Source organism: Homo sapiens, chromosome 15, assembly GCF_000001405.40.
Source record: "Homo sapiens chromosome 15, GRCh38.p14 Primary Assembly".
Lineage (NCBI taxonomy): Eukaryota > Metazoa > Chordata > Mammalia > Primates > Hominidae > Homo > Homo sapiens.
This window is the reverse complement of record NC_000015.10, coordinates 94763173-94791169: the sequence shown is the minus strand read 5'-3', so window position 1 is coordinate 94791169 and position 27997 is coordinate 94763173. Positions and strand designations below refer to the sequence as shown.

The window sequence follows — 27997 nt, the reverse complement described above, 5'->3', positions numbered from 1 at the left end:
ACCATTGATGTAAGATTCCTTAACATCACCACTTCCCTTCTAATTAACATCTGAAATCTCAATTCTTAAGCCTGTTTTTTGTGACTTTCACGTTAAATCAGCCCATCTTTCTTGACACAACTTTTTCCTCTCCTCTTTCTTCCTTCTTCCAATCCATCAAAAAAAAACAAATTAAGAGCCTACACTGTACAAGTAACAATTGTTGAGGGTTCATCATAAGGAAGGTAAAATTCTACTTCTTTAAGAGCTGGAATGACTGGATGTGCAAACACGACATGTGGAGAAAGAAGCGAGTGCTCCAGTAAACGATGGTCTTTCCTTCAAAGACAGCCAGCATTTCCACGGTCCTGTTCCCATGGTAAGGTTAGTGTTTTTCTCCATGTTTCCCTGTCACCAGTCCTGTTTATTCCTTGCATTTTTTTTTCCTCCAAGTCCTCTGTTATCTAACAAATTCCTAATTACTGGCTATTGGTTATTGTTCTCTAAGATGGTTTTAACCTTGACTTTTTTTTTTCAACTTTCCTTGTCTAATGATATCTCTAGACTACTAAAATGACATCTTAAATGCCTTCTGAATTCTAACTGCTCCTGCTTCAAGTCTAATCTTTTTGCTGAAGCCAGACTTATCTAATCCATGCCCTATTTAATCCATTTGACTCTCCGTCCAAAATTTTGAGTGACTTTACTACCTGTTGAGCAGAAAGTCAAACTTCTTAATCCAAGATTCACAGCCTTTTCCCAAATGGCTCCACGTTCCATTTACCTTCCTGGTCATCCACTAACTCAGGATATCTATTGCTCTGGGACCACACTTAGGGTTTACTCAGCTCTTGCCTTGGTTGACACCATTTCCTCCATCTACTGTGTTTTCCCTACACAATCGTCCCCCAACCAGGGCCTGTGCCTAGAGCTCAGCTCACTGTCCTCCAACTAAGTTCTCTCCAGCTCACTCAGAGGATGCCCTCCATTTGAATTCTCATTCCTTCCCATCTCTGCTCTTTACTTCTCCTGCCCTGAACTTGGGGGTGCTCCTTTGCTGTTATTTTGAACTAATATAGTTCACAACAGTTTTTATTTAACTTGTTAGCTGCTTATGCCTTATTTCTACAAAAAGATTGTAAGCTCTCATGTTTCTATATATTTATTGTCTGCAACGCACATACACATACATGCATGATGCTCATTAAATACTGACGAAGGGCAGAATGAGATATTATGCTTATCTATGCCAATACAAATTAACTGGAGTACCAGCACACACTGGTGCTCAGGAAATACATGATATGTAAGAAGTAATACCTTCAGAAAAATTTACACAATCAATAGATTATGATAAGATTTACATTGTCATGAAGAATCATTTATAGAACTACCAGGGCACTATCTTTCTAAAGTGTAAATTATTTACCTCATTTTGCTTAAGTAGACACTTAAAGAGGAAGTACAATTCTGTTCAGATAATTGCCATCTAGAGAATAATAACTAACTTCAATATTGTGTTTTCCTAGATGCCAGAAACTGGGCTGGGTACTGTACACACATTATTTCAAATGTGCACAGCACAAAGTAAACAACTTTATCTCTGCTTTATAGATAAAATTGAGACGTGAAAAAACAACTTTCACAAGTTCATAAAACTACATTAAATATTAAATACTTAAGCAGAGATTTGAATTGCGTCAGTCTGACTGTAAAATGATGCCCTTTCTACTACATTGTGGGCAATTAATTATGTTATAAATCTACACCAATCATGTTAACCTTGTAATTACCCATGATGGTGTGGATTGAGAATGAGATCAAGCACCGCTTATGATTTTGACTTATCTGAAGAAGAATAACAATAGGTAATATTTATTGAAAATTTCCAACATGCCAGCTCTGTTCTAAGAGCTTTACTTATGGTTGCATTAAATGCTTCAATCACATCTGCTACATTAGTTGAACGCTATGATTCCCACTTCACGAAATAAGAAATCAAAGCACTGAGAGTTTTGGTTACTAGCCAAGGTCATACAACCAAGAATTAGCAGAACCATGATCTGATTTAGGCAAGATGGCTCCATGGCTTCTCAACAATGGCGCCAGTTCCAGAAACGTATTTCACCATTGATAGAAAGAAAAAAGACCTTTAAACCTTCTATAGGTGAGGCTTTAGGAAACAACTTAACTGTTTTGTACAATTTTTTTAATGTTCATAACTCATGACACTTGAGTGGTGTGATACAGTTTGGATATGTGTCCCCGCCTGAATCTCATGTTGAATTGTAGTTCCCAATGTTGGAGGTGGGGCCTAACAGGAGGTGATTGGATCATGGCAGGTGGATTTCTCATCAGTGCTTAGCACCCTTCACTTGGTGCTATTCTTGTGATATTGAGTGAGTTCTCACAAGATCTGGTTGTTTAAAAGTGTGCAACACCTCCCGCCTCCTCTCTCTGGCTCCTGTTCCCACCATGTGAAACACCTCACTTCCCCTTTGCTTCTAGCCGTGATTAGAAGCTTCTTGAGGCCTCCCTCAAAGCAGAAGCCACTATGCTTCCTGTACAGCCTGCAGGACCAAGAGCCAATTAAACCTCTTTTCTTTATAAATTACCCAGTCTCAGGTATTTCTGGATAGCAAAGTCTGATTGGACTAACACATGGTAAGAAGCATTTCATGCTAAATTAACCCTAAGTTATCTCATGTGTGTCTGTGTGTGTGTGTGTGTGTATGTGTGTGTGTGTGTGTGTGTTTTGGTTTCTCTGTTTTGTTTTTGTTTATCTGACTAGCACTACTCTTGTCATAGTGCAGAGGAGAGCAAGCAGGGTGAGATGCAAATTATTTATGTATAGTTCCCCAGCAAGTCAGCATTTAAGAAAGGAAGAAGAGGAAGAAGGCAAAGGAGAAGGAAGGTAGAAAGGCAGGAAGGCAGAAAGGCAGGAAGGCAGGAAGGAAGGAAGGAAGGAAGGAATGAAGAAAGGAAGGAAAGGGAAAGGAAAAGAAAGGAGGGAGGGAAGGAAGAAAGAGGAAGGGAGGGAAATTTTCTTTTCTGTCTCTGAAACAGTAGCTCTTGAATCAGTCCTCACCTATCACACCCCTACTCTTGGTGATTTGCACTTATTTACCATTGTCGTCTTCTTCAGCCTGGTGTCCTGAGCATTCCAAATATCAGGTCACAGAGGCCATTTTCCATTCTACTGCTTCTATTTCAGTAATTCTATTTTGTGTGGAGCTTTAGAGAAAGTACTTTTGAAAAAGCTTCTTGCATCCAGGGAGGCAGGACAGAGGCTAATTAGGAGACCACATGAAATGTGAAAAACACAACGGAGGCCATGACACCCAGGTCCATTCAAGCGTCTTCACAGGAGTCATGGTGATCAACTTAAGTAGTCCATTTCTGTACTGGAAAATTATATTCTGCCTTCTTCCAACCGTCCTGAATTCTTAGTGAGGTAAGTTCATTGCCCAAAGTTCTAAGTTATCACTATTGTCTATTCTACACTTGAAAGTGGCCTTATATTGGTATCTGAATGAAGTGAGATCTTATAACTGTCTTCTGATGCATCAGACATCTAACTGGAAAAAAAAAGCACTATGAATTCAGCCACAATCTCCATGGTTATGGTCACCTAAAACCACCACTAAAGCTGTTTACCTCAAAATTGCAACTATAGCTGATGATCATTTTAGTCTGGATCAATACAGATTGCATTTACTCCATTTTGTCTTAAAATATTATTAAATAAATTCTTGGGTCTTTATTTGGTGAATATTGACTATGCCTATACAGTGTTCTAGGTGCCAGGGATATGAGGTAAAGAAGGCAGAAAGGTCCTCAGTGCCAAGGTGTTTATGATATCCTACTAGGAAAAGCAGGTATATATAAGGAAGAATCGCATTAGAAAATGAAATGGCATTGTGAGAGTGCCTGACAGGGGTTGGGATGGGGTTGAGGAACATCAATCAGGGTGGTTAGGAAGGGCAGAGTGCATGCAGAGAGGCAAGTTCTGCCCAGATAAGGGCTAGGAGTAGGCTTTCAAGATAGAGGGAAGGACAAGTGCAGAGTCCTTCAGCAGTAAAGAGCTTGGTGTGCTCAAGGCAAAAGAAGCCAGTGTAGCTTGACCAGAGTGAGCAGGAAGAGAAGAACAATAGGACATTGAAGGTGGACTTTTGGACATTATTTCAAGCTCAATGGGAAGCCACAGAGGCTGTATCTGGTTTATTTTAGAACAATTAAAAATATCAACATCAAAAAGATATGAATTTAAATTAGAAAATAATTTCAATGATAATGAAAGTTTAATGCAATTTTAATTTTGTTTTCTTTAGGTTTCAAATCTTGTAAATATCTGATAGGAAAAGCGTGGCTTGAAATGCCTAAGGGTTTATAATGAACTTATTAAAAATAGTTTTCCAGTGGATTTTTTCTGTCTTTTTCTCCCTGAGTCATTGTTAGCTGAATTCCCCCAAGCATTGATGCAGAGGTTAGAAAGAAAAGAATTTATAAAAAGAGTCTAAAAAAAAGGTTGATATGTTTGATCATAGGATTTTTTGTTGTTTTTTTGTTTGTTTGTTTTTGTTTTTGTTTTTTTTTTTTGTATCCAAGAAGTCCCTTTTGCAATTGTTGGGAAGAAGCTTAAAAGGTGAAAGGACATTCACATTTCCCCGGAGCCTCAGTCAACTTTAGGTGCTAGGCTTGTGAGTTCACGATTGTTGTTGTGTTGTTTTTCCCCTCTATTCTTAAGCAAGGTACTAAGGGTCACTGATGGTCTACAAGGCCTATTACTCTTGAAATGTAGGATGCAGTCACTAACTTAGGATTCAGTTGAAATCCAAAAGAGACCATGCAAGCATCCAAGGCAATTAACTGCCTGTACCATTTTCCATAAAACACTGTGCTAGTTTACAAAGGGCTGCAAGAGATCTGAAATATCATCAAATGGTGAAAAATCAAAATATTTTGCTGTCATATGCTGTCACATACTGTCAGAAAGCCTTGTGCTATGGCCACAGTCAAGTTGAATCTGATTAAAAGATCAGCAAACAAGGCAGGTTTAGGGGTATTTGACCTCATCAGTGCTGTGCCTGGAAGTACCTGTCAGTGTTTTGGTTGTCCTATGCTGTGACACTATTGCTTATGCAGCTTGCCAGTGGATATGCCTGATGACATTCTGGAGAGGAAACAACAGATTGATGTGTTCAGTTTTCTATTTTCAAATACTGTTCAGTGCTGCAAAGATGGAGCTTAAATTTAATTCCAATTACCAGTTCCACAAACAATGAATTATTCAAGATAAACTGCCCAGTTTTACTGAAGCATGTCTGTAATATGCATATGTTTGCTTCTATCTATACATATGTGGACTGAGATGGAGGTATTAAATTAGCTTATCGTCAGTTTATTAGAATTCATTAATGCTATATCTTTTAAAGAGGCTGATCAATATTTGCTGAGTTGGGGTTATATAACTCACAAAAACTTTACAGCTCCAAATATACATGCATGTCCATTTAAAAAATGTAAAAATGTAAATAATTAAGAATTTGTATCTTATAGGCAAGGAAAAGAGGCTCTATGTAAGATGTGTGTGTGTATGTGTTTATTTAGGAATAGGATGGAATAAATAAGTTAAAAAAGACTAGTCTTTTTTTTTTTTCTCTAAACCTGTCTGATATTGCACTGGCATAAGTAGTGATGTCACGGCATTGTCACGTCATAAAGTTAGTGAAATTAGAATTTTAGCCAATTTTAAGAAGATATACATTCTGTCTTTTCATTGTGATTCACATGGAGAAAATATACACTTTACTTTCAGCAACTCTACCCCAAGGATTTTCATTTATTTGCCTTAGGCAAAACTGAATTTTTTTGTTCTTGTTTAAAATTTTCACATTTCACAGGGAAAGAAAAAATCCTGGATAGCTAGAACATGACAGTTTCCCCATCTGTGAGAAATTGCTCCAAAAACAGTGATGTAAGTCTAAAACTTGTTTCCATTTTTAAAAGCCCTCAATTTTTAAAGTAACTCTTTAATGAATTATAAAAATATAGACAGCAAAGTGGACAGATCACTAAAGTTGGATAATTTTCAGAGTTAACACACTTTTGTAACTACCACACCAATTAAAAACCAGCAGAGTCCCTCTCATGCCTACCTCCAGTCACAGCCTCACTTCTGTGGTTATCCGTTCGTTTTGTCTGCTTTGAACTTTGTGTATGTGGAATACTACTGTTTGTCCTCTGTGTCTGATTTCTTTCACTCAACATTATGTTTGTGAAATGTACCCATGATGTTATGTTTAGTGGTGGTTCATTCTCACCGCTGTATAGTATTCCATGGATTAGTTAGGCCACAATTTATTTATATGATCTCCAGTTGATGGGTTCTTGGGTTGGTTTGTCTCATTTCAACTGCAAATAGTGTTGTTATTATCCTTCTTGTATGGGTTTCTTAGTACACATTAGTACATACCTGTTGGAAATATGCTTTCAGTGGAATCATGAGGCACAGGGCACGAATATATTCAGCTTTAGTCGTGTTTAACAGTTTGCCAAGATAGTTCCACAAATTCCCCCTCAGTGCATAAGAGTTCTAATTCTGCAACCTTGCCAGCATTTGGTATGGTTAATTTTTTTAATCTAGCCATCTTGATGAAGGCACAGTGGTATCTCAATGTGGTTTTAATAAACTTATGTGACTAATGAGCTGTGCATCCTCTTTTATATTTATCTGCCACTTGGATTTCTTTTGCATTTTTTGATTTGATTGCTGCCATCCAGTTTTCAATTGTGTTCTTTATATTTAGTACTTTTTGTGTTCTGTTTAATAAACCTTTGCCTACCCCAAAGCTGTGATAAAATTCTACCATATTATCTTCTAGAAGCTTTATTATTTTACTGCTCACTTTTTAATCTTCAATTTATTTATATTTGGTGTGAGACAGAGATTAAGTTCATTTTTCTGTAAGAATATCTATTCAATCCCAAATCATTTGATGAAAAAAAAAGCATCTTTCTTCCCACCATGCTGAAGTGTCATCTTCATCATAAATCAAGTCACCATGTATGCATTTGTCTGCTTCTGGTCTCTTTGTTTTGTTCCATTGGTCTATTCATTCATGTGTGCAAAAATGTAATATTTTCTTAACTACCAAAAATTTATAATATCATGATATGTAATAGTTTAAATCCTCCAACTTTATTGTTTGTAAAATTCTCAGTATTTTGAAATAGCATATACATTTGTGAAAGAAACCTTGTTAGTTTCTATAAAGAACCTTTTATGGTTTCAGTTGGGATGACATTGAATCTATAAATCAATTTGAAAAGAATTAACTGCTTTATAGTATAGAAGCTTCCATCTGTTATCTTGGTATATTACTGTATCATTTTTAGAACATTTAAATTTCTCTCAATTTTTTTAATAGTTTTTAGAAGTCTCACACATCTTTTGTTACATTTATTTCTGAGTGTTTTGTATTTTGTTGCTATTGTTATAAATAATATTAGTTCTTTAATTTAATTTTCAAATTATTTTCCTAATATATGGGAATACAAATGATCTTTGCATATTGGCCATGTGTCTAGAGCATTGCTAAATTGACTTAATAGTTTTATTTTTTGTAGATACTGTGAATTTTCTATGTACCTATAATCTATTATCTATGTACATAATGACAGCTTTATTTTTTATATTATAGATCTTTATCTCTTGTATTCTTGCCTTATTGCACTGTCTAGTATCTCCAGAATAATGTTGAATAGAAATATTTATAGCAGGGAACCTTGTTGTAATCTCAGAGTTTAAGAGGTATAGCTTTCAATATTTCACTGTTAAATTTGAAATTTGCTATAGACTCTATGGATACTCTTTTTTAGATTTCCCAAGCTCTCTTCTAATCCAAATTCTTATGCCTAATTGGAAGCTTTAATCATGAAAGGGAATAGAATTTTATCAAATTTGAGATGCTCATATTTTCCTCTTATGTTAATTTGGAGAGTTACATTGATCATTGATTGACTCCTTAAAATAATCCTGCATTCTGGAAAAAAGTCAACATGCTGTGATCATCTTTTTCTAAAATATGGATGGATTCAATTTGATAATATTTCATTTAGAATTTTGTGTCTGTGTTTAGAGGGATACACCTATGATTATTTTTATCTTACAATGCTTATCATGTTTTGGTATCAAAATTATTGTGGCCTAATAAAACAAATTGATAAATGCTCCCTTTTCTCTTAAGAATTTATGTAAGATTGATGTTATTTATAACTCAGGGCTTTAAAAGAATTCACTAGGGAAACCATCTGAGCCTGGAATTCTGCGGGAGAAGTTTTTAAATTATAATTTTAAAATAGATTATATATATATATATATATATATATATAGAATTATTCAGTTCTTTTCTTCATCTGTGTTAGTTTGAGGTTGTGTTTGACTATTAATTTTTATATTTTATCTAAATTCTTAATTGGCATAAAGTTGGATATAATATCCTTTTCTTATCTGGATTATGTCTGTAGGATCTGCAGTGTTTTCTAGCTTTTCTTTTCTGATATTAATAAATAGTACATTCTCTTTTTTGTTCTTAGTCTTTCCAATAGTTCATTATATTAATCTTCTCAAATAACTAACATTTGACATTGTGATATTGTTTTCACTTATAAATTTCACTTTTTATCTTTTTATTTATTTATTTTTTTACTTTTTACTTATTTTGGTACAATTTACTTTTTAATTTGTAATTTTTTAGGTGGATACTTAGATCATTAATTTTTTAGCCCTAGCTCTTTTCTGGAAAATACACATTACAGAAAGCTTACTATTTTTCTCTTCTAGTCAGAGATGGTGAAGGTTTAATTCTCTTAATTGAATCAGACCCTAAGTTGGGTTGAGAATGGATTGGAATTTTGTTAAGACTTTGTTTGCTCTTGGCATTTCTGCTCCTGAGGCATGATTCTCCAAAGCCTTGCAATCTCTGCACTTCTTAGATTTGTGGCTTAATGTCTTACCCCACTTTGGGAAAATTCTTGGCAATGATTTGATCAGATATGGCTTCTTCCCCATTTGCTTTCTCTTCTTTTTTTGAAACTTAAATGACAAGTAGGTTATACCTTTTTACTAAGTCTAGTATGTTTTTATATTTCTCCCTCCTTCCCTTCATTTTCCATTCCATTTATGCTTCATGCCTCTGTGTGAATATGTTCTACTAATGTAATGACTGATTCTTTTTTCAATTGTGTTCAATTTGCTGTTAAACCCATCTATTTAGTTCTTAAGTTCAAAAAAAGTCTATTTTTTCAGGTCCAGAATTTTCATTCATTTTTAAAATAGATTCTAATTCTTTACAATATGTATCCAATTCATTGTCTATCTTATTAAGCATATTAGTTTTAGTTAAAGTCTACAGTTGATAGACTTTACTATTATGGAGTTATATTTGATAACTCCAATATCGAGATCACCTATGCCTCTATCATCAGTGTTTATTCTTGGTCCTATTTCTTGGTATATCTGGAAAATATTTATTGAATTTCAGGCTTGTGTACACAAAAATTATAGAAACTGTGGATGCTATTGTCTTTTTCTAGTAAGAATCCATCTTATTTTCTGGTAGGCAGCTACTAGAAGAGCACACCTTCTTATTCCAATAAGAAATTGAGCAGTTTTGAGTGAGCATTTAAGACTTTTGAAGACTTAGTCTACCTCTGGTTCACCTCTAATTCTTGGGCATAGCTCTCAGATGTTCTGATTGAGAGCCTGAGGTTATCATTTAGGGCTTCTTTTTTCTTGGTGGGTCCTAGATGTCAATATTTGTCCTCCCATTATTGAGAAAGTTCTGTTGAGCTTTTCATCCACTTTTTCTCTCGCTTTTTGGCATCTTGGCTTGTGTATCTTTAGAATCAGCAAATTCTTCATGAAGAAAACTGACACGGAATATTAAATTCACTTACCTACAACTTCCTTTCTTTTGGGATCATAGACCTTTAAGTCTCTGCTGCCCTGGCAAGACTAAACTTTACTTTTTGTCTTCAGCTTCATTAGGGTGTTGCAAGCTCTGCTGTTTGCCTTTTGGCAGTGGCCAGCTACCTGGTTTCTTAGCATCTTCTCTTGGAAGTTTACAAGCCAACAAATTTCTTGAAGAAAAATTGAAATGTACAGTAACATTGCCCTCATGATAGTAAGTTTTGCATTTCTCCAAAATGTTGGCCCATCAAGTACTAGCTTTCTTGGAAGTACTCTGATTCCTTCAAACAGAATATTTTTGGAATTTCATATAGTTGTACTAGTTGTTCTTAATGGGGGTGATGGTCTGCCTCAAGCCACACCATCATAGCTGGAAGCAGAAAATAGCAAAGCTTTCACATTTAAATTAAGGAATACTTCATCTTTACTTTTTTACCAGCTTCATCCCCACCAATAAAATTTATGTACCATGAAATTTTTGTTTTTTAGATTACTCAAGGAACAAACATTTGATGGGACATAGGATAACATATCAGTGAGGATAAAAAGGGCAATAATATGAATCAAATTTTGCACATAAAAATGTCTTGAGCAAATACATATTGGTATTTTAAGTTCTAAGTTTACTGGTTTCTTATATATTTAATAAAATTGCACACATTTTACACTAGTACCAAGAGAATTCAAGAAACAAAAAGTAAAGTCATAAAAAATGAATGCATTTCCCTTTGGGTTTTAGGAGGCCTCTCATTACATATAATGCTGTGACACACTGGCAGAATATCTGATGAACTATCATTCATGACAGAATGACTTCAATTACATTGATAACAAGATGACATGTTCATGTCGTTGGTATCCTACTCAGTCTTGCCATCTGTTCTCACAGTAACATTGACTTAAGGGCCATGTTCCTAGTTATTTGGTTAGAATTTATTTCCTTCTGTATTCAGAGCCAAAGCAAATATTCATAAGAATTGTTTCCGGCAGGGCACAGTGGCTCACGCCTGTAATCCTAGCACTTTGGGAGGCTGAGGTAGGTGGATCACGAGGTTAGGAGTTCGAGACTATCCTGACCATCATGGTGAAACCCTGCCTCTACTAAAAATACAAAAATTAGCCTGGCATGGTGGCGTGCACCTGTAATCCCTGCTACTCAGGAGGCTGAGGCAGGAGAATCGCTTGAACCCGGGAGGTGGAGGTTGCAGTGAGCCAAGATCATGCCACTGCACTCCAGCCTGGGTGACAGAGCGAGACTCCATCTCAAAAAAAAAAAAAAGAATTGTTTCCCATTGTATGCTTGGGAAACCCATTTTTGAAGAGGATTTTCCTGTAACCATGACCCAGTAAGTGCCATATTATTTGCTAATAGCTTCTACCCTCCAGACATAGACACATACACACCTTTACCACCCTCTTCTCTTTTGCCCTTTCCCTCTCCCTTTCTCCTCCTCTTTCCAAAATGGTTACTTCAGGCGAAAGAATGACCAAATATATATATTTTTAAATTCCAGTTGCATGTTGTTTGTTGTCAGTCAAAATTTTTTCTGTTTTATTTCTAGTCATAAAACTCACCCCTTATTAAGTCTACCCTGTGCTGACAGTTTCTTTATCCTGAAGTCCATTAGCACCTTCTTGAATTCTTACCTGGCTCTAAATAGAATCTGCAGAGAGGATGGCCCTGGGATCGTTCTTTCCCCTGTGCTTTGTTTTCCCTATATGAGCCATCTTAGGTTAGGCTCCTTGGATGCAGAGCCTGAGGAAGGTATTTGGACACATGTGGCTGATGGAGGGAGTGCTTTTTAGACAAACAAACAAAAACTACCAGGTTTGTAAGAAAATAAAAACTGCAAGGAGTGAAGCAGGATGAAGAAAGCAAAAACAAAACAAAACAATGGGAATGTAGTCTCAGGTAAAGTCTTGCCTTGCTCTAATCCTCTGGGATCTCAGAAGCACAAATTCCACTGCAGATTTGCACCCCTTAAGGGAAAGAGGCCAGGATTTTGTGCTGTTATTACTCTATCATTGTCTATGGAGTACTCCAGGAAGGGCTGCAAAACTTCCCTCCAGCTACTGAGGGAAATTCTGTGGAGGGGGGCACTAGGAGCCCCTGACAGTCAACACTCACAGTGGCTGGCAGGGCACCCTAACAAGGTCCATTCTGTGAGTCAGTTGGCTTTTAAAAATATAAATTAAATCCTGTCACTCCTCTGTTTAAGCCTTTTCTATTTAGAACAAAAGAGAAGCTCCTTACAACTCTTCCTACTCACAGTGCCCTATTTGATCTGGCTTCCATTTACCTCCCAAGCTCCATCCTGCAACACTCTGGTCTCCATTCATTATATAGGTAATAAATCTTCATGGAGGATATCCTAGGTGCCATACACTTTTTTAGGCACAGAGGATACAGCTGTGAACAAGGCAAAAATCCCTGCAGTCCGGGACCTTCTCCAGTCTTCCCTCTCACCTAATTCAAGCCATATTTGCACATTTTTTCCCCCTAGAATACATGAATGGGAAATTCACTCTCCCTCGTGGGTGTCGTGGCACGCATTCTCATTTTCATTTCAAATGTTACCTCTTCAGGCAGGACTTCCCTTCTGACTCTACCCAAGCCAGCAACTCTACTTTTTTTTTTATTATTTTCTATTGTTTGATTATTTTCATGGCACTAATCACAATGTACAATTTTTAGTCAATTATGAGTTTCACTATTTGATGAATTGTCTCTATGCTGTCTCAATTCTCTTTAAGGATAATCTCTAGTTCCTGGGAAATTCCTGGATGCTTAGAAATTGTTAAGAAATGTTTGAAAAGTAAGCAACTAAGTAAAGGAATGTAGTCTCATGCATAGTCTGGAGAGTTTTAAATTTTTGATTAGCTTTAAGTCTTGGTTTAAGTGTAAACCTTAAAGATACAGCCTATATCTCTACTGTCTTTTTCTCTCCCAAACCATTGCACACAAAGTTGACCCTAAGTAGTACTGATTTTGCTTCATTAAATTCACCTTCTTGAGTTGGGTAACCCACATTGCAGTTATTAGTAGCAAAAGTCCAGAAATACTTTTTGATATACTGTTATGTGCACCCCAAGTATAGGGAGTTATGTTTACATTACTATTGTCAAGATTAATCATCTGTTCTTTCTTAGTAAGTTGTGCTGCCTTGATTAATGCCATTAGGGACCCTAAAAAATTGAAAATCTTGAATTTCCATAGCAGGCTTCCAGGATCAGCTACCACTTCAAAGAACCATTGGTGATATTTACTTACAGTTAAAGAAACAGGAGCAAATTAGAGCCTTTTATGGTTTATTCACTACAATTGCTCTTTATCTAAATTAATAATGAAAAGTTTCCTAACCTGGGCATTGCAAGAGGTTTCAAAAGACAATGCCTGAAATGAATCCCCAGTCCTATCCCAAGGATGAGCAGACAACTGGTAGCCGAGAACCCTTTATACCCATGTATGAAGAATTGTGCAGCCATTATGATGGGCTGGGACAAAGTCAGCTGCTGATGTGTTAGAGCTCACGTGTTAGTGACTTGGATGTAGGGCACATAGATACTTTGATGAGCATGAATGGGATGAAATCTCATATGACAGGTAAAAACAGGGAAGCAAGGAATGGTTTTGTTACTTCTCAGTGACTCCCTCTGTCTCTGAAGCAGCTTCCTTTGGAAGAAAGCACTTCCTCGATATATATATGAACCTACCTTTGAGGATGAACTACTACTGAAGGTATAACCTATACTCAATGTCCTGGGGGCTTCTAGAAGGAAGGAAACTGGGGGCAGGGGGAAATCAAGGAAAGGGAGAGGGGAGAAAACCCTGCTGGGTTTAATCTGAACAGTGTATCCATCACCCAAAATGATACAAATCAGCCATTACTGGATCATGCAAAAGACACTCTCCTACCTGTGATCCCTTCTTTGCTTTCTAAACCTCTTTTCAGCTCAGCCTAATGAATTGTCAGAACTGTCAGACAGCTCTAAGGAATGACAAATGTCTATGATTTGCTGCTGCTGCTGCTATTTTGCTGGAAACACCTGATGTATGTAGTCTTGCATTCTTCAGTTTCGAATTAGAGACTTGGAAAACAAAATCAACCTTGATAAATATAGCAATTTTTCCCCTGTTCTGTAAGCTGAGCTGAATGGATATTTTTAAATATAAAGAACTCTCTTTTGTTCTTATAATATGTATGTGGCACAGGGTAAATCTCAAACAAAGGGCTAATATCCCAGTGGTGGATTGTGTGTGTATGGGGGGGAGGGGGTGGGTAATCGCCAATTCATGAATTAGAGTTCTGTTTACATTTCTATTGTCAAGATTAATCATCTGTTCCTTTTAAGTAAGTTGCGCTGCCTTGATTAATGCCATTAGGGACCCTATGAAATCGAAAATCTGGGATTTCCATAGCAGGCATCCACGATCAGCTACCACTTCATAGGACCATGGGTGATATTTACTTAATGTTGAAAAAATAGGAACAAATTTGAAAAATTATTTAATGTTTTAGAAATGAAAAAACAAATTCTTACTAATAAATAAGTTCCTCCAGTGGCATGATAATTATTCCGGATACTGTATATTAGATGTGTTTAACACAAAGATAACAGCTGAGGTTTTCATTGGGTCATAGATATATATTCTCTAAACCTTCAAATAACTAAAAATTTAGTGCAAATTAAAATATGTTGGAATAATCAAGATATTTGAATTGTGGAGATGATTTTATAGAACTGTCATTACATTTATATGCATATGTGTATTTGTTCTGATTACATATGTTCAAAACTAAAATTTTAAAATAGCTTTATCTATCCTAATAGCTCAACATCTCTTTTTTCCATGCAATGATTTCACATTAGCTCTAACAGGTAGAAAGGTTTACAATGCTTTTACAGATCATAATATCCCCAAATAAATAGTTCTTTTAGCTTATCAGTCATACTAGGGCCCTCAGCCAAACCTATCCCAGGTATGAAATGTTATAGTCCTATTTAGCAAAGTGATTTCTATTTCTGCCTGTAATGATCACAATAAGAAGAGCTACATCAATTTCTCAATCATATGCTCCCATTTAGAGTCATCTCTTGTTGGTTATCTGCCAAAAGACATTTCACACAGCCAAAAATTATTAACATTGAGGAGGCCTAGGGGTCATACTTTTGAAAAATTTTAAGTAGGAATTTCTACTTTCAATTTTATATGTTGTCATGTACTGGATGGCTATCTGAAGAGGGGTCTAACAAGTCAATGAGATGACACATGTCCCCAGAGTACAAAGTAGAAACCTGATCACTATGTAGATAATTTGGGTCATGTTAGTTAGCCTGGATTACTGAGTGGTCAATAGATAATAGAAAGGTGGTATGCCCTATGAAACAGAGCCCAGGCTTTGAATTCAGAAAGTTTGATATTCTCGTCCCTTTGCTGTAAAAATTTGGGAAGGTCCTTCATTTATGAAATGAAAATTTCAAGTCTTCAATGTTGTTGCCAAGAATAAAAATTCTATGTATTGCACCTAGCGTATACTAGGTCCTCAACAAATGATTAGTATTTATACTTTTGCCATAGTTGCTGGTAACAACAGTCCCTCCTAAGGAGATGTTTTTATTTTCTAAAAAATATATTTCTGGATCTTTAAAAAATTTAACTTCTCACTTTAGTACCCTATTTCTCTAGAAGATATTCAGATTCATCTGTTGGTGATGATTCTCTAGTTGAAAACTTTTGCATTTGGATCCACAGATAATGTTTCTAAGAGCTTTCTCTCCTTCACTAAAGGCTGTCTCAAATCTTAGTCGTGAGGAAAGGAAAGGAATTGTATTTCTCTATATCTTAATGTAAAAGTAGGTAGAAGAGGAAGAAAAGATAAATACCCAGAGAAATTGAAAGGCTCTAGCGATAGTACTTGATAACTGCATAAAATTGTATCATTTCAAGAATTATTAGCCCATATACAGCACTTCATATTTACAAAATGCTTGATAATGGCTATCCAGATAGTTTTTTCCAATAAGCCTTTGAAATATGCTAGTATTATGACCTCCATCTTTCAAGAAAGGAGGCTGTGGTAAAAGGAGATTAAATGATCTATTCAGGGGAAAAATGCTTTTGAGCTTCCATGGAGGCATCTAAGAAATAGTGAGTTAGGTTCTTTCCCCCAGGGCCCTGTTCACTTCCTGATGGTAGATTAAGAGCTAGTGTGGGTAACAGGAAGTGGTGGTGGTAGATTAAATTCTTTGATTCAACAGCAGGACTTTTTAAAAAATGGAATGAGTATCTGATTCTTCACCTCTTTTCCCCATGGGTATTCCGGGCTGGGTCAGTTAATTGAAGAGGATCAGTGAGGTCAAGGTTACAGAAATTCTCCAAATGGTTACAGGTGCACTCTTATCTCAGATACACATCAGTCCATGACCTCATTTATAAAGGTAAGTGGGGCAGAGTTTGGATACACACTTACATCATCATGATGGAAAAAAACATCTCAAATATATTTCTTTCTTTGTATTATTTTCATAGATAAAAGGATGCCTGATTCCCAAATTTGGGGTATTTTTAAGTGTCATTTTTAGGCTAATAATAGTGCCGTTAGATTTTCTATAAAATTTTTTGGCTATTCATTGAATATAAAGAAAACCGTAGGAAAATTAATCTTTTATTTCATATGCGTTTTTGCTGTAACCTCTTCCTAACCTCACTATGGAGTCCCTTCATCGCCTTAGTTTCATGATTAAAATAACCGGGTAACTGAGCTGAAAGCGGGAGAAAAGTAGCTATGGGACGAAAGAAATCCAACTTCCAGAAAATCAGCTTTGGTCACTACTGCAGCAAGGACAAAATAACAACGCTCAAAATTGGGCAATGAATTTGTAAGTATTGAACAAGAAAGAACCAAAAGGATTTGTTCTTCCAGGGTGCAAGATATGAGGCAGGTCATGTTTAAAATACTGGGCCAGGTCCAGGCCACTTCATAATACAACTGCATTCTATAGGAATGAGGAAGATAGAATTGAACACAAACAGAATGACAGAGGGACTTAGGGAGCTGAGCATCTCATGAGGGATGGGCAAATGGTGTGGATAAAATAAGAACCAAACTGAACTTTCACCCAAGCCAGAGTGAAATCAAGCTCTTTTAAGAAAAAACAAAATCTGAGCATTGTATCATTTCTTTTCTCATCATATTATATTTCATTTTTTCCCCTTTTGACATCTAGAAAATCTCAGAAATATGAGGGGGATGAGGAAATGACAAGACCTCTTCTAGTATTCTTTCCAGACTAAAAGAAATAAATCTCAGTGAGCCTAGGGATACCACCCAAGCCAAAATATGAATGTGTGTATAGATGGGTGTATATGCATGGTACATGCACACCCACGCATGCACGAATGCATGCACACACTCACACACACACACACACACATGTATTCATGCAAATTCTAGCAGACACCATTTAGGTTAAATGTACTGAATTACCCTCCATGCTCAGTCACCCTATTCAAACTCTCATCTCCCCCTCTTCTGGGCTTCAGGCATTTCTACATACAAACTGGCAGATGAAATACTCTGGTGCCTTCTCTCCTATCTGTGGCAGCAGAGCCCTTGGTTTCTGAGACCACCCTAAAGCCACCTGTGTCAGGTGCCTGGTGAATGAGTGTTTCTCCTACTTACAACTGTAGGACAGTCAATCATTACACATCAGCCAACCACTGACTCTCCTGCCCTTGGTTATTCCATGGCACAACCTTGTCTGTGTAGGAAGGGTGAGTAAGCATCAATGTTTCAGAAGTGATGGGCTCTGCACAGACAGTTCCTCCTCCTTTTCCTAGTTGTTATGCCGTGCTGAGAAATTCATGCTGCTTTCCTCTTTGGGACCAGCACCTACTGCCCAAGAACTACAGGCACCAGGTGCAGGGCTAGGTAGGGCTAAAGGGAGGCAGGTTTGACTCACTCATGCTCCTCCTCTCAGCCCATCTTTGAGGAAACACCGTCACTGGTGCTTTCAAAGGCACAGTTCTAAGGCTCTGAGTTTTCATTCTACTTCGTAACTTTCCCATGGTGCCTGCCACTCAGTTTACCTCTAACTTAAAACCAGAAGTTTGAGATAAACTAGAAAGGTAGGTTCAAGGGCATCAGTTACAATAAGTCCTCACTTAATATCGTGGCTATGTTCCTTGAAACAGTGACTTTAAATGAAATAACATATAAGGAAACCAGCATTCCCATAGGCTAATTGACATAAACAAGAGTTGAGTACCTATGGCTTATTTCTGGTCACAAAAACATCATCAAACTTCTACATAAAGACCCCAAACACTTCTAATATTCAACATTGAAGTAAATGTGAGCTATTCATACTTTAGGAAAGTGAAAAACCAGATAATTCTCCAACTTGTGGCAGTTCAGGTTGTGAGTGGCTGGAGCTCATCTGGGCAGGTTCAGGGTGCAAGGTGAGAACCAGGCCTGGCCAGGACGTTATCCCATCACAGAGCACATGCACACACAACCATACTCACTCACATTGGTGCCATGTAGACACGCCAGATAACCTAACGTGCACAGCTTTGGGATGTGGGAGGAAACTGAAGTACTTGCAGAACCCCCAGGCACACATGGGGAGAACGTGCAAACTCCACACAGACTGTGGCCCCAGCAGGAATGGAGTTTTTTTCTCGTGAACATTATAATGAAATGATGTTGAAGAAAATGACGCTATTTGAGTACCTGCTGGACTCTGAGGCCCTGCTCCTTCTCAGCTCTAAATATGAAAACAATACTAAAATAATAATTGCAAGTTCCACCCTGTGTGAGGACATCACATATTGTTTCTTCACAAGGACCATTTGGAGATTAAGAGAATAAAGTAGAAAAAAAAAAGCGTGTCTGAAGTCCCCCTATTAGCCAACTGGGAAGGGAGAAGGCAGGCAGACTCAGAGGATACCCCTCTGCCTTTTGGGTTTTTATTGACCATTCACGAAGATGGGGAAGGAAGACCTTATGTAGTCTTTTAACATTATTTCTAAAATTGGTAAATAGCAGCATGTTGGTGAAGAGCTGATGTTCTGGAATTTAAATTCAAATAACCCTACCATTAGGAAGTTTTCTGGGTTTGGAAAAGATGTATGTGGATAGTTCAGTCTATTTTAAAACCAGCACAACAAGAGCTCTGATTTTCTTCTACATGCTGCATCTCTTTGGTCATCATTATAATCATTCAAGCAATGATCATTTTCACAAGGGGCTCCCACAGATTTGCTGGAAGCATGTGGTGGCTGAGGGTACTGGATTGCCCACCACCTGGATGCAGTGGCCTGTAATCACCTAGCACACCTGGGATTGGTTCATGTCAATTTGCAATAAGAAAAAAAAATCACAAATATTCTTGTCATTTTATCAGAGTAAGTGGATGACCACAAGCAATATGGAAAGTTTGAGTGTCTTACCCAGATTGCCAAATTGGGCTAGAGATGGGGATGTGATAACTTGAGAATAAACACTTTTTATCCTCACAAGATCTTTGATGATATTCTTTTATTTATTCATTCATCAAACATTTTGTTAGATGTTAAATTGTAACCCCCAACTCAATTCATATGTTGAAGTCCTAACCCCTAGTAGCTCAGACTGTTTAGAGATAGAGTCTTTAAAAAGATAATCTGGTGAAAATGAGGTCAGTAGGTGGGCCTTAATCTAGTATTGACTGGTGTCCCTGTAAGAAGAGAGGCTAAGAACCCAGAGTGTGACTCTTCCCCAGAAGGAAGATGATGTGAAGACATCAGGAGAAGATGGCCATTGATTAGCCAACGAGAAAGGGCTGGGACAGATCCTTTCCTCATAGGCTTCAGAAGGAACCAATCCTGTGAACGCCTTGATCTCTGACTTCTGGCCTCCAGGACTCTGAGACAGTAAATTTCTGTTGTTTAAATCACCCAGTCTGTGTTACTTTGCTACAGCAGCCCTTACTTAACACAGGAATACAAGTTTAGCAAGATTGTATTGTGTACCAGGAATCTTGCATTAAATGACATTTAATCTTCCAAATGGCTTTATAAGCTTTTCCTTATACAAATATGGGAACTGAGAGCTACCAGTTAAATAGCTTGCTCACATCACCAACTTGTGAGCATTCTGGCTGGGATGTAACTTTGGACTTGCCTGATTTCAAAACTTGTGTGGAGCTATAAGTGACAGAGAATGCAGTGCTTTCTAACATGTATTGATATTCTTAGGGTTTGGGTTAGATCTATAAGTCTGCATGCATGTGTGCATGATTGTGTGTGTGTGTGTGTGTGTGTATGTGTATCTGTGTATGGGCATATGTGCCTGTGTGTGCATGTAGCCACATAAGCATGTCTGCACAGGTCTTCCTGAATCCACTGGGGTTGTAGTTTATAAGCATTGAAAATTCATAGACCCATTATATCTGTCAAACCGAGGACAACGTTAGAACTGATCAGAAGACACGAAGAAAGAAGGATGATTATCATTCAGTGGGATCTGCTTCCCCAAATGCATTTGGGCCAGTTATCAAACCCTAGAAAGTATGCCAGGAGCAAAGAGAGGAACTAGAATTGCTTTCCAGTGATCACTGTCTTCTGTTATTCCATTAGCAGAGAGATAATAGCCAAGTCTTCCAGGATTGAACCATAGGAAACCCTTTAAGTGGCATGAAACTCACGCTATATCATCACTCGCTATTGTCATAGAAATAATCATGCAGATTTGGCAGTGGAGGAGCGACTCTGGTAGAACAGAGTTCATGCATGACATATGATGTATCTGTTCAAAGGGACAGATACATCTTTCTTACTGCCGCCACGCTACAGCTCTCATCCACCGTCCCTCCCGTCCAAATCACCTCAAATAAATGTGAGTACTGCAGCGCTCACAGTAATTCCTTCATTTTTAAACACATAATGGAAATGTATAACTAGTCCTCATAAAAATTTATATCTCAATCCGTCCCTTTAATTTATAACAGGCCCTCTAGGCGGTTATTATTCAAACGTTAATAAAATGCCTATGGATCTCCAAAAGCAACCGTCTGCAAGTGCACTTCTCTTCATATTTGTACATATATAAAACTAGATTAGCTTTAATGCCACTTCTGGTTCTAACAACAATTATGCCTTTAATAAGAGAGGGCCAAGTGATGTATTATCTTAATCATGTTAGAAATCCGGGCCCCTATCGTGAAACCAAAGTTGAATTTTTCATGCCCTTTTCAACAATTGTTACTCTTAATGTTCTATGTGTTTGGATTCTGCAGTTTATGCAAATGCTCCCTTTCTATAAATTTTAGATTTATCACCATTTGTCACTGTATGTACTCTAATACAAGGTGATTGCTTTTCCCCAAAAAATATGATTAAAACACACTTCAATTATTTATACTCGCCAAGGAAATAAAATAAAAGTAGATGGGGTTTTCCTATACTGTAGGGTTAATTACATTACTTTTAAAATGTTAATAAATTTAACACAAGTCCAAACCTCTCCTCAATTTTTAAAAATCGTTGTCTTCAAAAAGACCATTGAACTAAGCAAAGAAAATTCTAAGCATACAGCTATTATTTTCTTTACACAGCGGAAATGTTGGATTCAGAACGTTGTTCATTTGGAGGGCAGTTTTTCCCTCTCCTGATCTGCCGTTCAGTTCTTGTTCTTATGTTTGCCCAGAAGCCTTACAACCTTGTAGCATGTGTTTTCCTGAATTAAAGAATAAATAAATAAATAGCTGACCTGTTTTCTCCTCTAAACTTGAGTGTTGCCTTTCAAACTCTGCCTGATGCTTTCTAGCAAAGTGGTTTTGTACAAGGCAGGACTATCACCACAGAGCAACATAACTACAGATGGAAGTCTTGTTCTAACATCACATTTTTGGAACAAATATTTTCTAATATTAGCAGCAGGTCTTAGTCAATGCTTAAAAATAACTGGCCTAGAGAGAGAACCTTTTATGCTGGAAGAAATCCAGGGCTTCTGTGTGATATGTGTTCATCAGAAAAGTTTCTTTTCGCCTAAGTTACGTTTCTTCCTGTCCCTCTCTCACCCCAGCCATTTAAAAATACCAGTGGGAGAAATAGATGAGAGGTTTCCAGTGGACCAAGAAAAATCTTTAATAAGGCCCTTGACTTCAATATATTAGCCAATTTCTCACTGATTTTATCATGACTATTGATTTTTCACCTCTGTGATCCCCTTTCAATAGATTTACGGCAACAAAGCTAAAATCACAGGTTGATTCCAGTTAAATGTTAGTCGTTATTGCTAATGAGATCCTGTACCTTTAAAAAGCTAAGTCGGCTTCAGTCCCTTTCTTTCCTGCCACTCTAATGGTCTCTCCACTAATTGGTTCTGTATAAATGAAACAAGCTGAAAAACACCGTGCCACCAATAAATATTAATAAGTTATTGTTTGTTTTATTTACCTTGCTTATGAATTCATACAAAGACAGTGCTAAGACATTAACTCCAGTCTATTAATTGCCACCTGATACTTTTCTCCTGGATAATTAGGTACCCATTAGTTCTAATCAAGTAGTTACTTAATTATTGCAGTAATTAGTCTAATGGACTAGCAAATTGAAGCTTTATCACTTTTGGATACTTAATGTTCCTGACAGAGTACTTCACAAGTGTCAGGGTTCCGGATTCAGCAACCTGTCATCCAAGAACCCCCTCCTCTCCTTCCACCCTCGTCCCATTATCACTGCATCCACTTTCCTTGGTATTGTTGTTGAGTTTTCCAAGAGGCAACCTAAACCTGAACTCCCCCCCTGCACGGGCCCTTCCCGGTGACCCTTTAGAGAGCTATGATGCCATGTCTTTCTATGCACAACCACACATTGAGTGGCCCAACTTCTAGACTATGTGAATATCATTTACGCAGTCTCTTTAGATGGTCTCTGTGCAGACAAAATATGTAGATGAAGGAAAGAGAAGACTTATTTAGGAATGCTTGGAAGCTGATTCATAATAGATTAATAATCCTTCCCAGTGAACCAAAAGATGATGTATAACAACCACAGAGATTTTTAAAAAGTACAATTTGTTTATGCAGGAACTGAATAATAAATCATAAGTCCAATGAAAATTCAGATGATCAACTCAAAGGAGCCTGAAGAGTGATAAAATTACTTTCCAGTACAATTTTGATGCCTCCTTTTTCATGGAATTTTCTTGGACATCAAGTTGACTGATTACCTTCTTCTTGGTAAAATACACTCTGCACTGCTGAGACACTCTAGAACATTCCTTCAGGGACTGTGCCTCCCCATTTCCAAAGCTGATTATTTCTTGCCTTCTCCAGGGTCCTCTCCTAGACAGTCACTTGCAGCTCCGTCTTGGGTGTCCTTTCTTCCCTGGCCAATATTTCCGAGTCTTCTTTGCTGGTCTCACTTTCTCTGCTAATCTCTACATTTTGGTGGATCCCTAGAGCTGGGCCCTGGCTTCCTTTAGTGAGTTAGTCAGTTTTCTTTCTTTCTTTCTCTTTCTTTCTTTCCTTTCTTTCTTTCTTTCTTTCTTTCTTTCTTTCTTTCTTTCTTTCTTTCTTTCTTTCTTTCTTTCTTTCTTTCTTTCTTTCTTCCTTCCTTCCTTCCTTCCTTCCTTCCTCTCTTTCTCTCTCTCTTTCTTTCTTTCTTTTTCTTTCTTTCTTACTTTCTTTCTTCCCCTCCCCTCCCCTCCCCTCTCCTGTCTCTCTTTCTTTCTTTCTTTTGACAGATTCTTGCTCTGTCACCCAGGCTGGAGTGCAGTGGTACAATCTCAGCTCACTGCATCCTCCGCCTCCCAGATTCAAGGAGTTCTGCTGCCTCAGCCTCCCAAGCAGTTCAGATTACAGGAACATGCCCCCATGCCCCCATGCCCAGCTAATTTTTGTATTTTTAGTAGAGATGGGGTTTTGCTATGTTGCCCAGGCTGGTCTCGAACTCTTGACCTCAGGTGATCCACCTGCGTCAGCCTCTCAAAGTGCTGGGATTATAAGCATGAGCCACCATCCTCGGCCAGTTATTTCTTTATGTCCATCTATGTTCTTTCATACCGTGATCACATTTCTGTCTGTAGCTTACAATCCAGATCCTGTCACTTTCTTGTTTAAAATCTCTCAAAGGTTTTCCAGCACCCTTAGAATACTCAGCAAACCTAATGCTCCTGACCCATTTGGTCCCACCTGACTTGGTCTTGCTTCTGCTATGATTCTTTCGTATTATGTCCTTCATCACTTGGGACATGCAAGCCACTCTACCTCTTTTCCAGTGTTTGCTCACACCCAGGTCATTTCTGCTTCAGGGCCTTTGCACTTGCTGTTTTATTTTTTATTTTTTATTTTTATATTTTTATTTTTCCATTTGGAAAGCTTTTCCTGCTCTTCTTAAGTCTGGTTCTTTTTGTTTTTTTGGTCACACCTCAGGTGTCACCTCAAAGAGGCCGTCCTTGAAAATCCTACCTAAATCATCTCCCTGAGACCTTCTCTATTTTGTAACTCTGCTTAAACCTTCTACACTTAGTACTGTCTGCGTCATCCTCGCAGCTATTAAACTATATGAAAACAATACATCGACTGTCTCATTCACCACCGAATCTAACGCCAGGTAGGCACCAAATACATTTTGTTGAATTCATCAGTGAATGAATGGATGCAACAGGAAAATTATTCTCTAATTCTCAAATGCTTGGAACAAAAATACAAAATGCTTCAGAAGTCCTTCCTGCTGAGAACCTTGTTAGGTTCTGGTGACAGTCTAAACTTTTACATTTGATTTATTTCCACCCAATCCAATCCTTTAACTACTACTGCCTCAAGTGCTGTGGAGGATATAGAGATGGATAAAAGTTATGCCATGGTTAAAGTCTGGGCACAGTGGCTCACACATGTAATCTCAGCACTTCAGGAGGCTGAGGCGGATGGATCACTGGAGGTCAGGAGTTCAAGGCCAGCTTGGCCAACATGGTGAAACCCTGTCTCTACTAAAAATACAAAAATTAGCTGGCCATGGTGGCACGCCTATAATCCTAGCTAATCAGGAGGCTGAGGTGGGAGGATCGCTTGAACCAGGGGGGCAGAGGTTGTCGTGAGCTGAGATTTTGCCACTGCCTGGGTGACAAGGTGAGACTCCGTCTCAAAAAAAAAAAAGTTATGCCGTGGTTAAAAGTGCGGAGTCACACAAAGCTGCGTTCTCATCTTAGCTTTCCTGGCTATGTGACCTGAGGCCTCAGTTTCTCCATCGACAAGATGAAAATAATGACATCACCTATCTGAGAGAGCTCATGTGAGTATTCTTTCAAATAATGAATGTAAAGGTCTTATTAAGTGTGTGGCAACTAGTAAATGCCCCCTAAAGATAATTACTATCAATAGAAAATGTGACTCTTGTGTTCCAGGAGCTGACACTATTTTAACAAACTCCCCTTTCATGACTGAAGATGTCACCTACCTCAGTGACTGGGGGCTCAGCACAGTTGCTTCCCTGCATCTGCATCTGGATCAGTTTCCCTGTAGAGAGGCCTGAGACTTGCTTCTGTCGGTTACAAACTGCTTGGTCTCCACTGACATGGCCTTGAGTCATTTCCAGACCTTCACACTCACCATCCTTATAGACACTTTTTGTTTTAATTACATGGAGGTATTCCCAGTTAAATTACTTTTTTTTCTGTGAAAATCGCCTTAATTTTTGACATCTCCTTGTATGAAAAAATGGCATCATAAGGCAAAAGTTGCGGAAATGTAAAGAAGGCAGGGTGTATTGGCTGTATCATATTTTTGTTGTTATTGTTGCTGTTTGTTTTTCCCTGCCCAGCTGCCTAATCGCTAGCCCAGTGAACACCGTGGTAGGAAGACAGAGCGATCCAACTGCAGGCTGCGGGAGAACTGACAAGACCTGGGACTGTCAATCTCAGGGGAGGCCCTGCTGCGTTATCCCATGAGAAGGGCTGCTGACTATGCCACTGTGCCAAACCTGGACTTTATCTCTTACATCGATTTGATTTGGTTTCTCTCAGTCCTCAAGTCAGATTTGTATCTGAATTGATCACTGAGCCTTTGACAAGTGTCATCTGCTGTATATATTGCAATTCATGACATTTAAGGGCCTGTTGACCTAGCAATTCGGCTCCCATGCAGGAAACAAGATACCAACTTCATTTAAAAATATGGTACAATTGACAAATGCTCATATTAACTCAAATACATAACAGGAGGCAAGAAAGTATTCTAAAATTTATTTAATGATGGTATCTATGTAGTTTTACCCCATCTTTATTCTTTCGCTAAACAAGAATATGTTTCTGTAATGTCAAAGGTATACTGGGAACTACTACTAGTCTTCCATTGCTGCTGTGGAAGTGTTTCAATTTTTGAAAGTGTAAGAGATGAGGGAAGAAATCTGGATATATCAGATTCTTTGGAAAATAACAGATAAGTAAACATGTAATATATTATGGCTACTATTTTAATGCAAAAATATATTTCTACTACTAACATATTTGCCAAGGTATGGTAAGCATTGTATAAAGTAATGACTACTCAATAGAATATCTATTTAACAGATTTATCTTCCTGAAGAAAATATGCAAAGATAATCTTAAAATGTAAACAATGCTATAGAATCAAACTCATGAAACAGCTGTTGTATTAGTCTGTTCTCATGTTGCCAATAAAGACATACCTGATACTGGGTGTTCATAAAGGAAAGAGGTTTAACTGACTCACAGTTCCACATGGCTGGGGAGGCCTCACAATCACGGTGGAAGGCAAGGAGGAGCAAAGCCACGTCTTACATGGTGGCAGGCAAGGGGGCTTGTATAGTGGAACTCTCCTTTATAAAATCATCAGTTCTCATGAGACTTATGATCATGAGAACAGCAGGGGAAAGACCCATCCCCATGATTCCATTACCTCCCACTCGGTTCCTTCCATGACACATAGGAATTATGGGAGCTACAACTCAAGATAAGATTTGGGTGGGGACACAGCCAAACCATATCAGTTGTTAAACCCATATTTTGCCAAGTCTTAGTTTTATTATCTGTGAAATGAAAAATATTAATACCTATCTGCCCTACCGACTTCACAAAGATGCTGTGACAACCAGGTGGATTAATATATAGAAAATGATGTGGAAAATAAAAAACATGATGGGAAAGCAAGGAATTGTAAAGAACCTAGTATTTATTTTCCTTTTCAAAAGAGAAATTATTTGAACTCATATTTCATCTTTCTTTAATTTCAAACATCTCAATATACTATGTTTTCCTTATATATTTTTAGATTTGCAAAGTGAGGGTGCCTGAGCCTGTGCCTGAACCACAGGTCCTTCTAACCCAGCTCTTGGGGCATGGCACATTTGTTGACATAAAATGGGGGGATTCCAAGACTTCAGATCAGTTAAGACCAAAAATAAAAATAAAAAAACAATCCCAAAACAAAAACAAACTTCAGTGAAAGTCCCTGGACACACTTAAGTTTTTTTTATCCTTGATTCCAATCTGATAAAATTTCATCAATGTGCCCTCTGCCCCTTTTTAGGGGCATTGAATGAAAATAATAACAAGATTACCATCAATTAAATTGCTGCTATGTGACCAATACATTCAGTTTTCTAGGCCTTTATTGAAGAAGTTTTTGCAGACTGCTCAGCAAGCAGTGAGTATCTAGGAAATGCTGACCATCCTGAATTGATCAATTACACCTAGCTGCACCTTGTTATATAGCCTGAGAACAAGCTGCTCTTTTCTCTTACCTGTGATCCCAAGTATCACACTACTTGTATTCCATATTCAGTCCTTCTCAAATAAGACAGTCAATAAGACCTGATGAAAAGCCTGTATAGGCAAGCTAATTTTACAAAATGCTTTGTTTTAACTACTGGCAACAGAACTGTCATCAGTTTGCTTTGGGTGCATGAGAAGTTGATAGTTCATTGGCTTCCATCCTTACAGTAAGTTGCTTTAGTGGCATTTTTTTTTCAATTTCCCTTTAAAAACATTTCTTTATTATACCTTAAGTTCTGGGATACATGCGGAGAACATGTAG

General features: G+C 37.7%; 1 long non-coding RNA gene across 1 annotated transcript; it reads left to right on the top strand.

The window, feature by feature from the left end:
* LOC105370988 (uncharacterized) lies at positions 1-26389 on the top strand. The gene is made up of 3 exons (XR_932644.3): positions 1-363; positions 25153-25235; positions 25764-26389. It is a non-coding gene; the product is annotated as an uncharacterized LOC105370988 (long non-coding RNA).
* The last annotated feature ends 1608 nt before the right edge of the window (positions 26390-27997 follow it).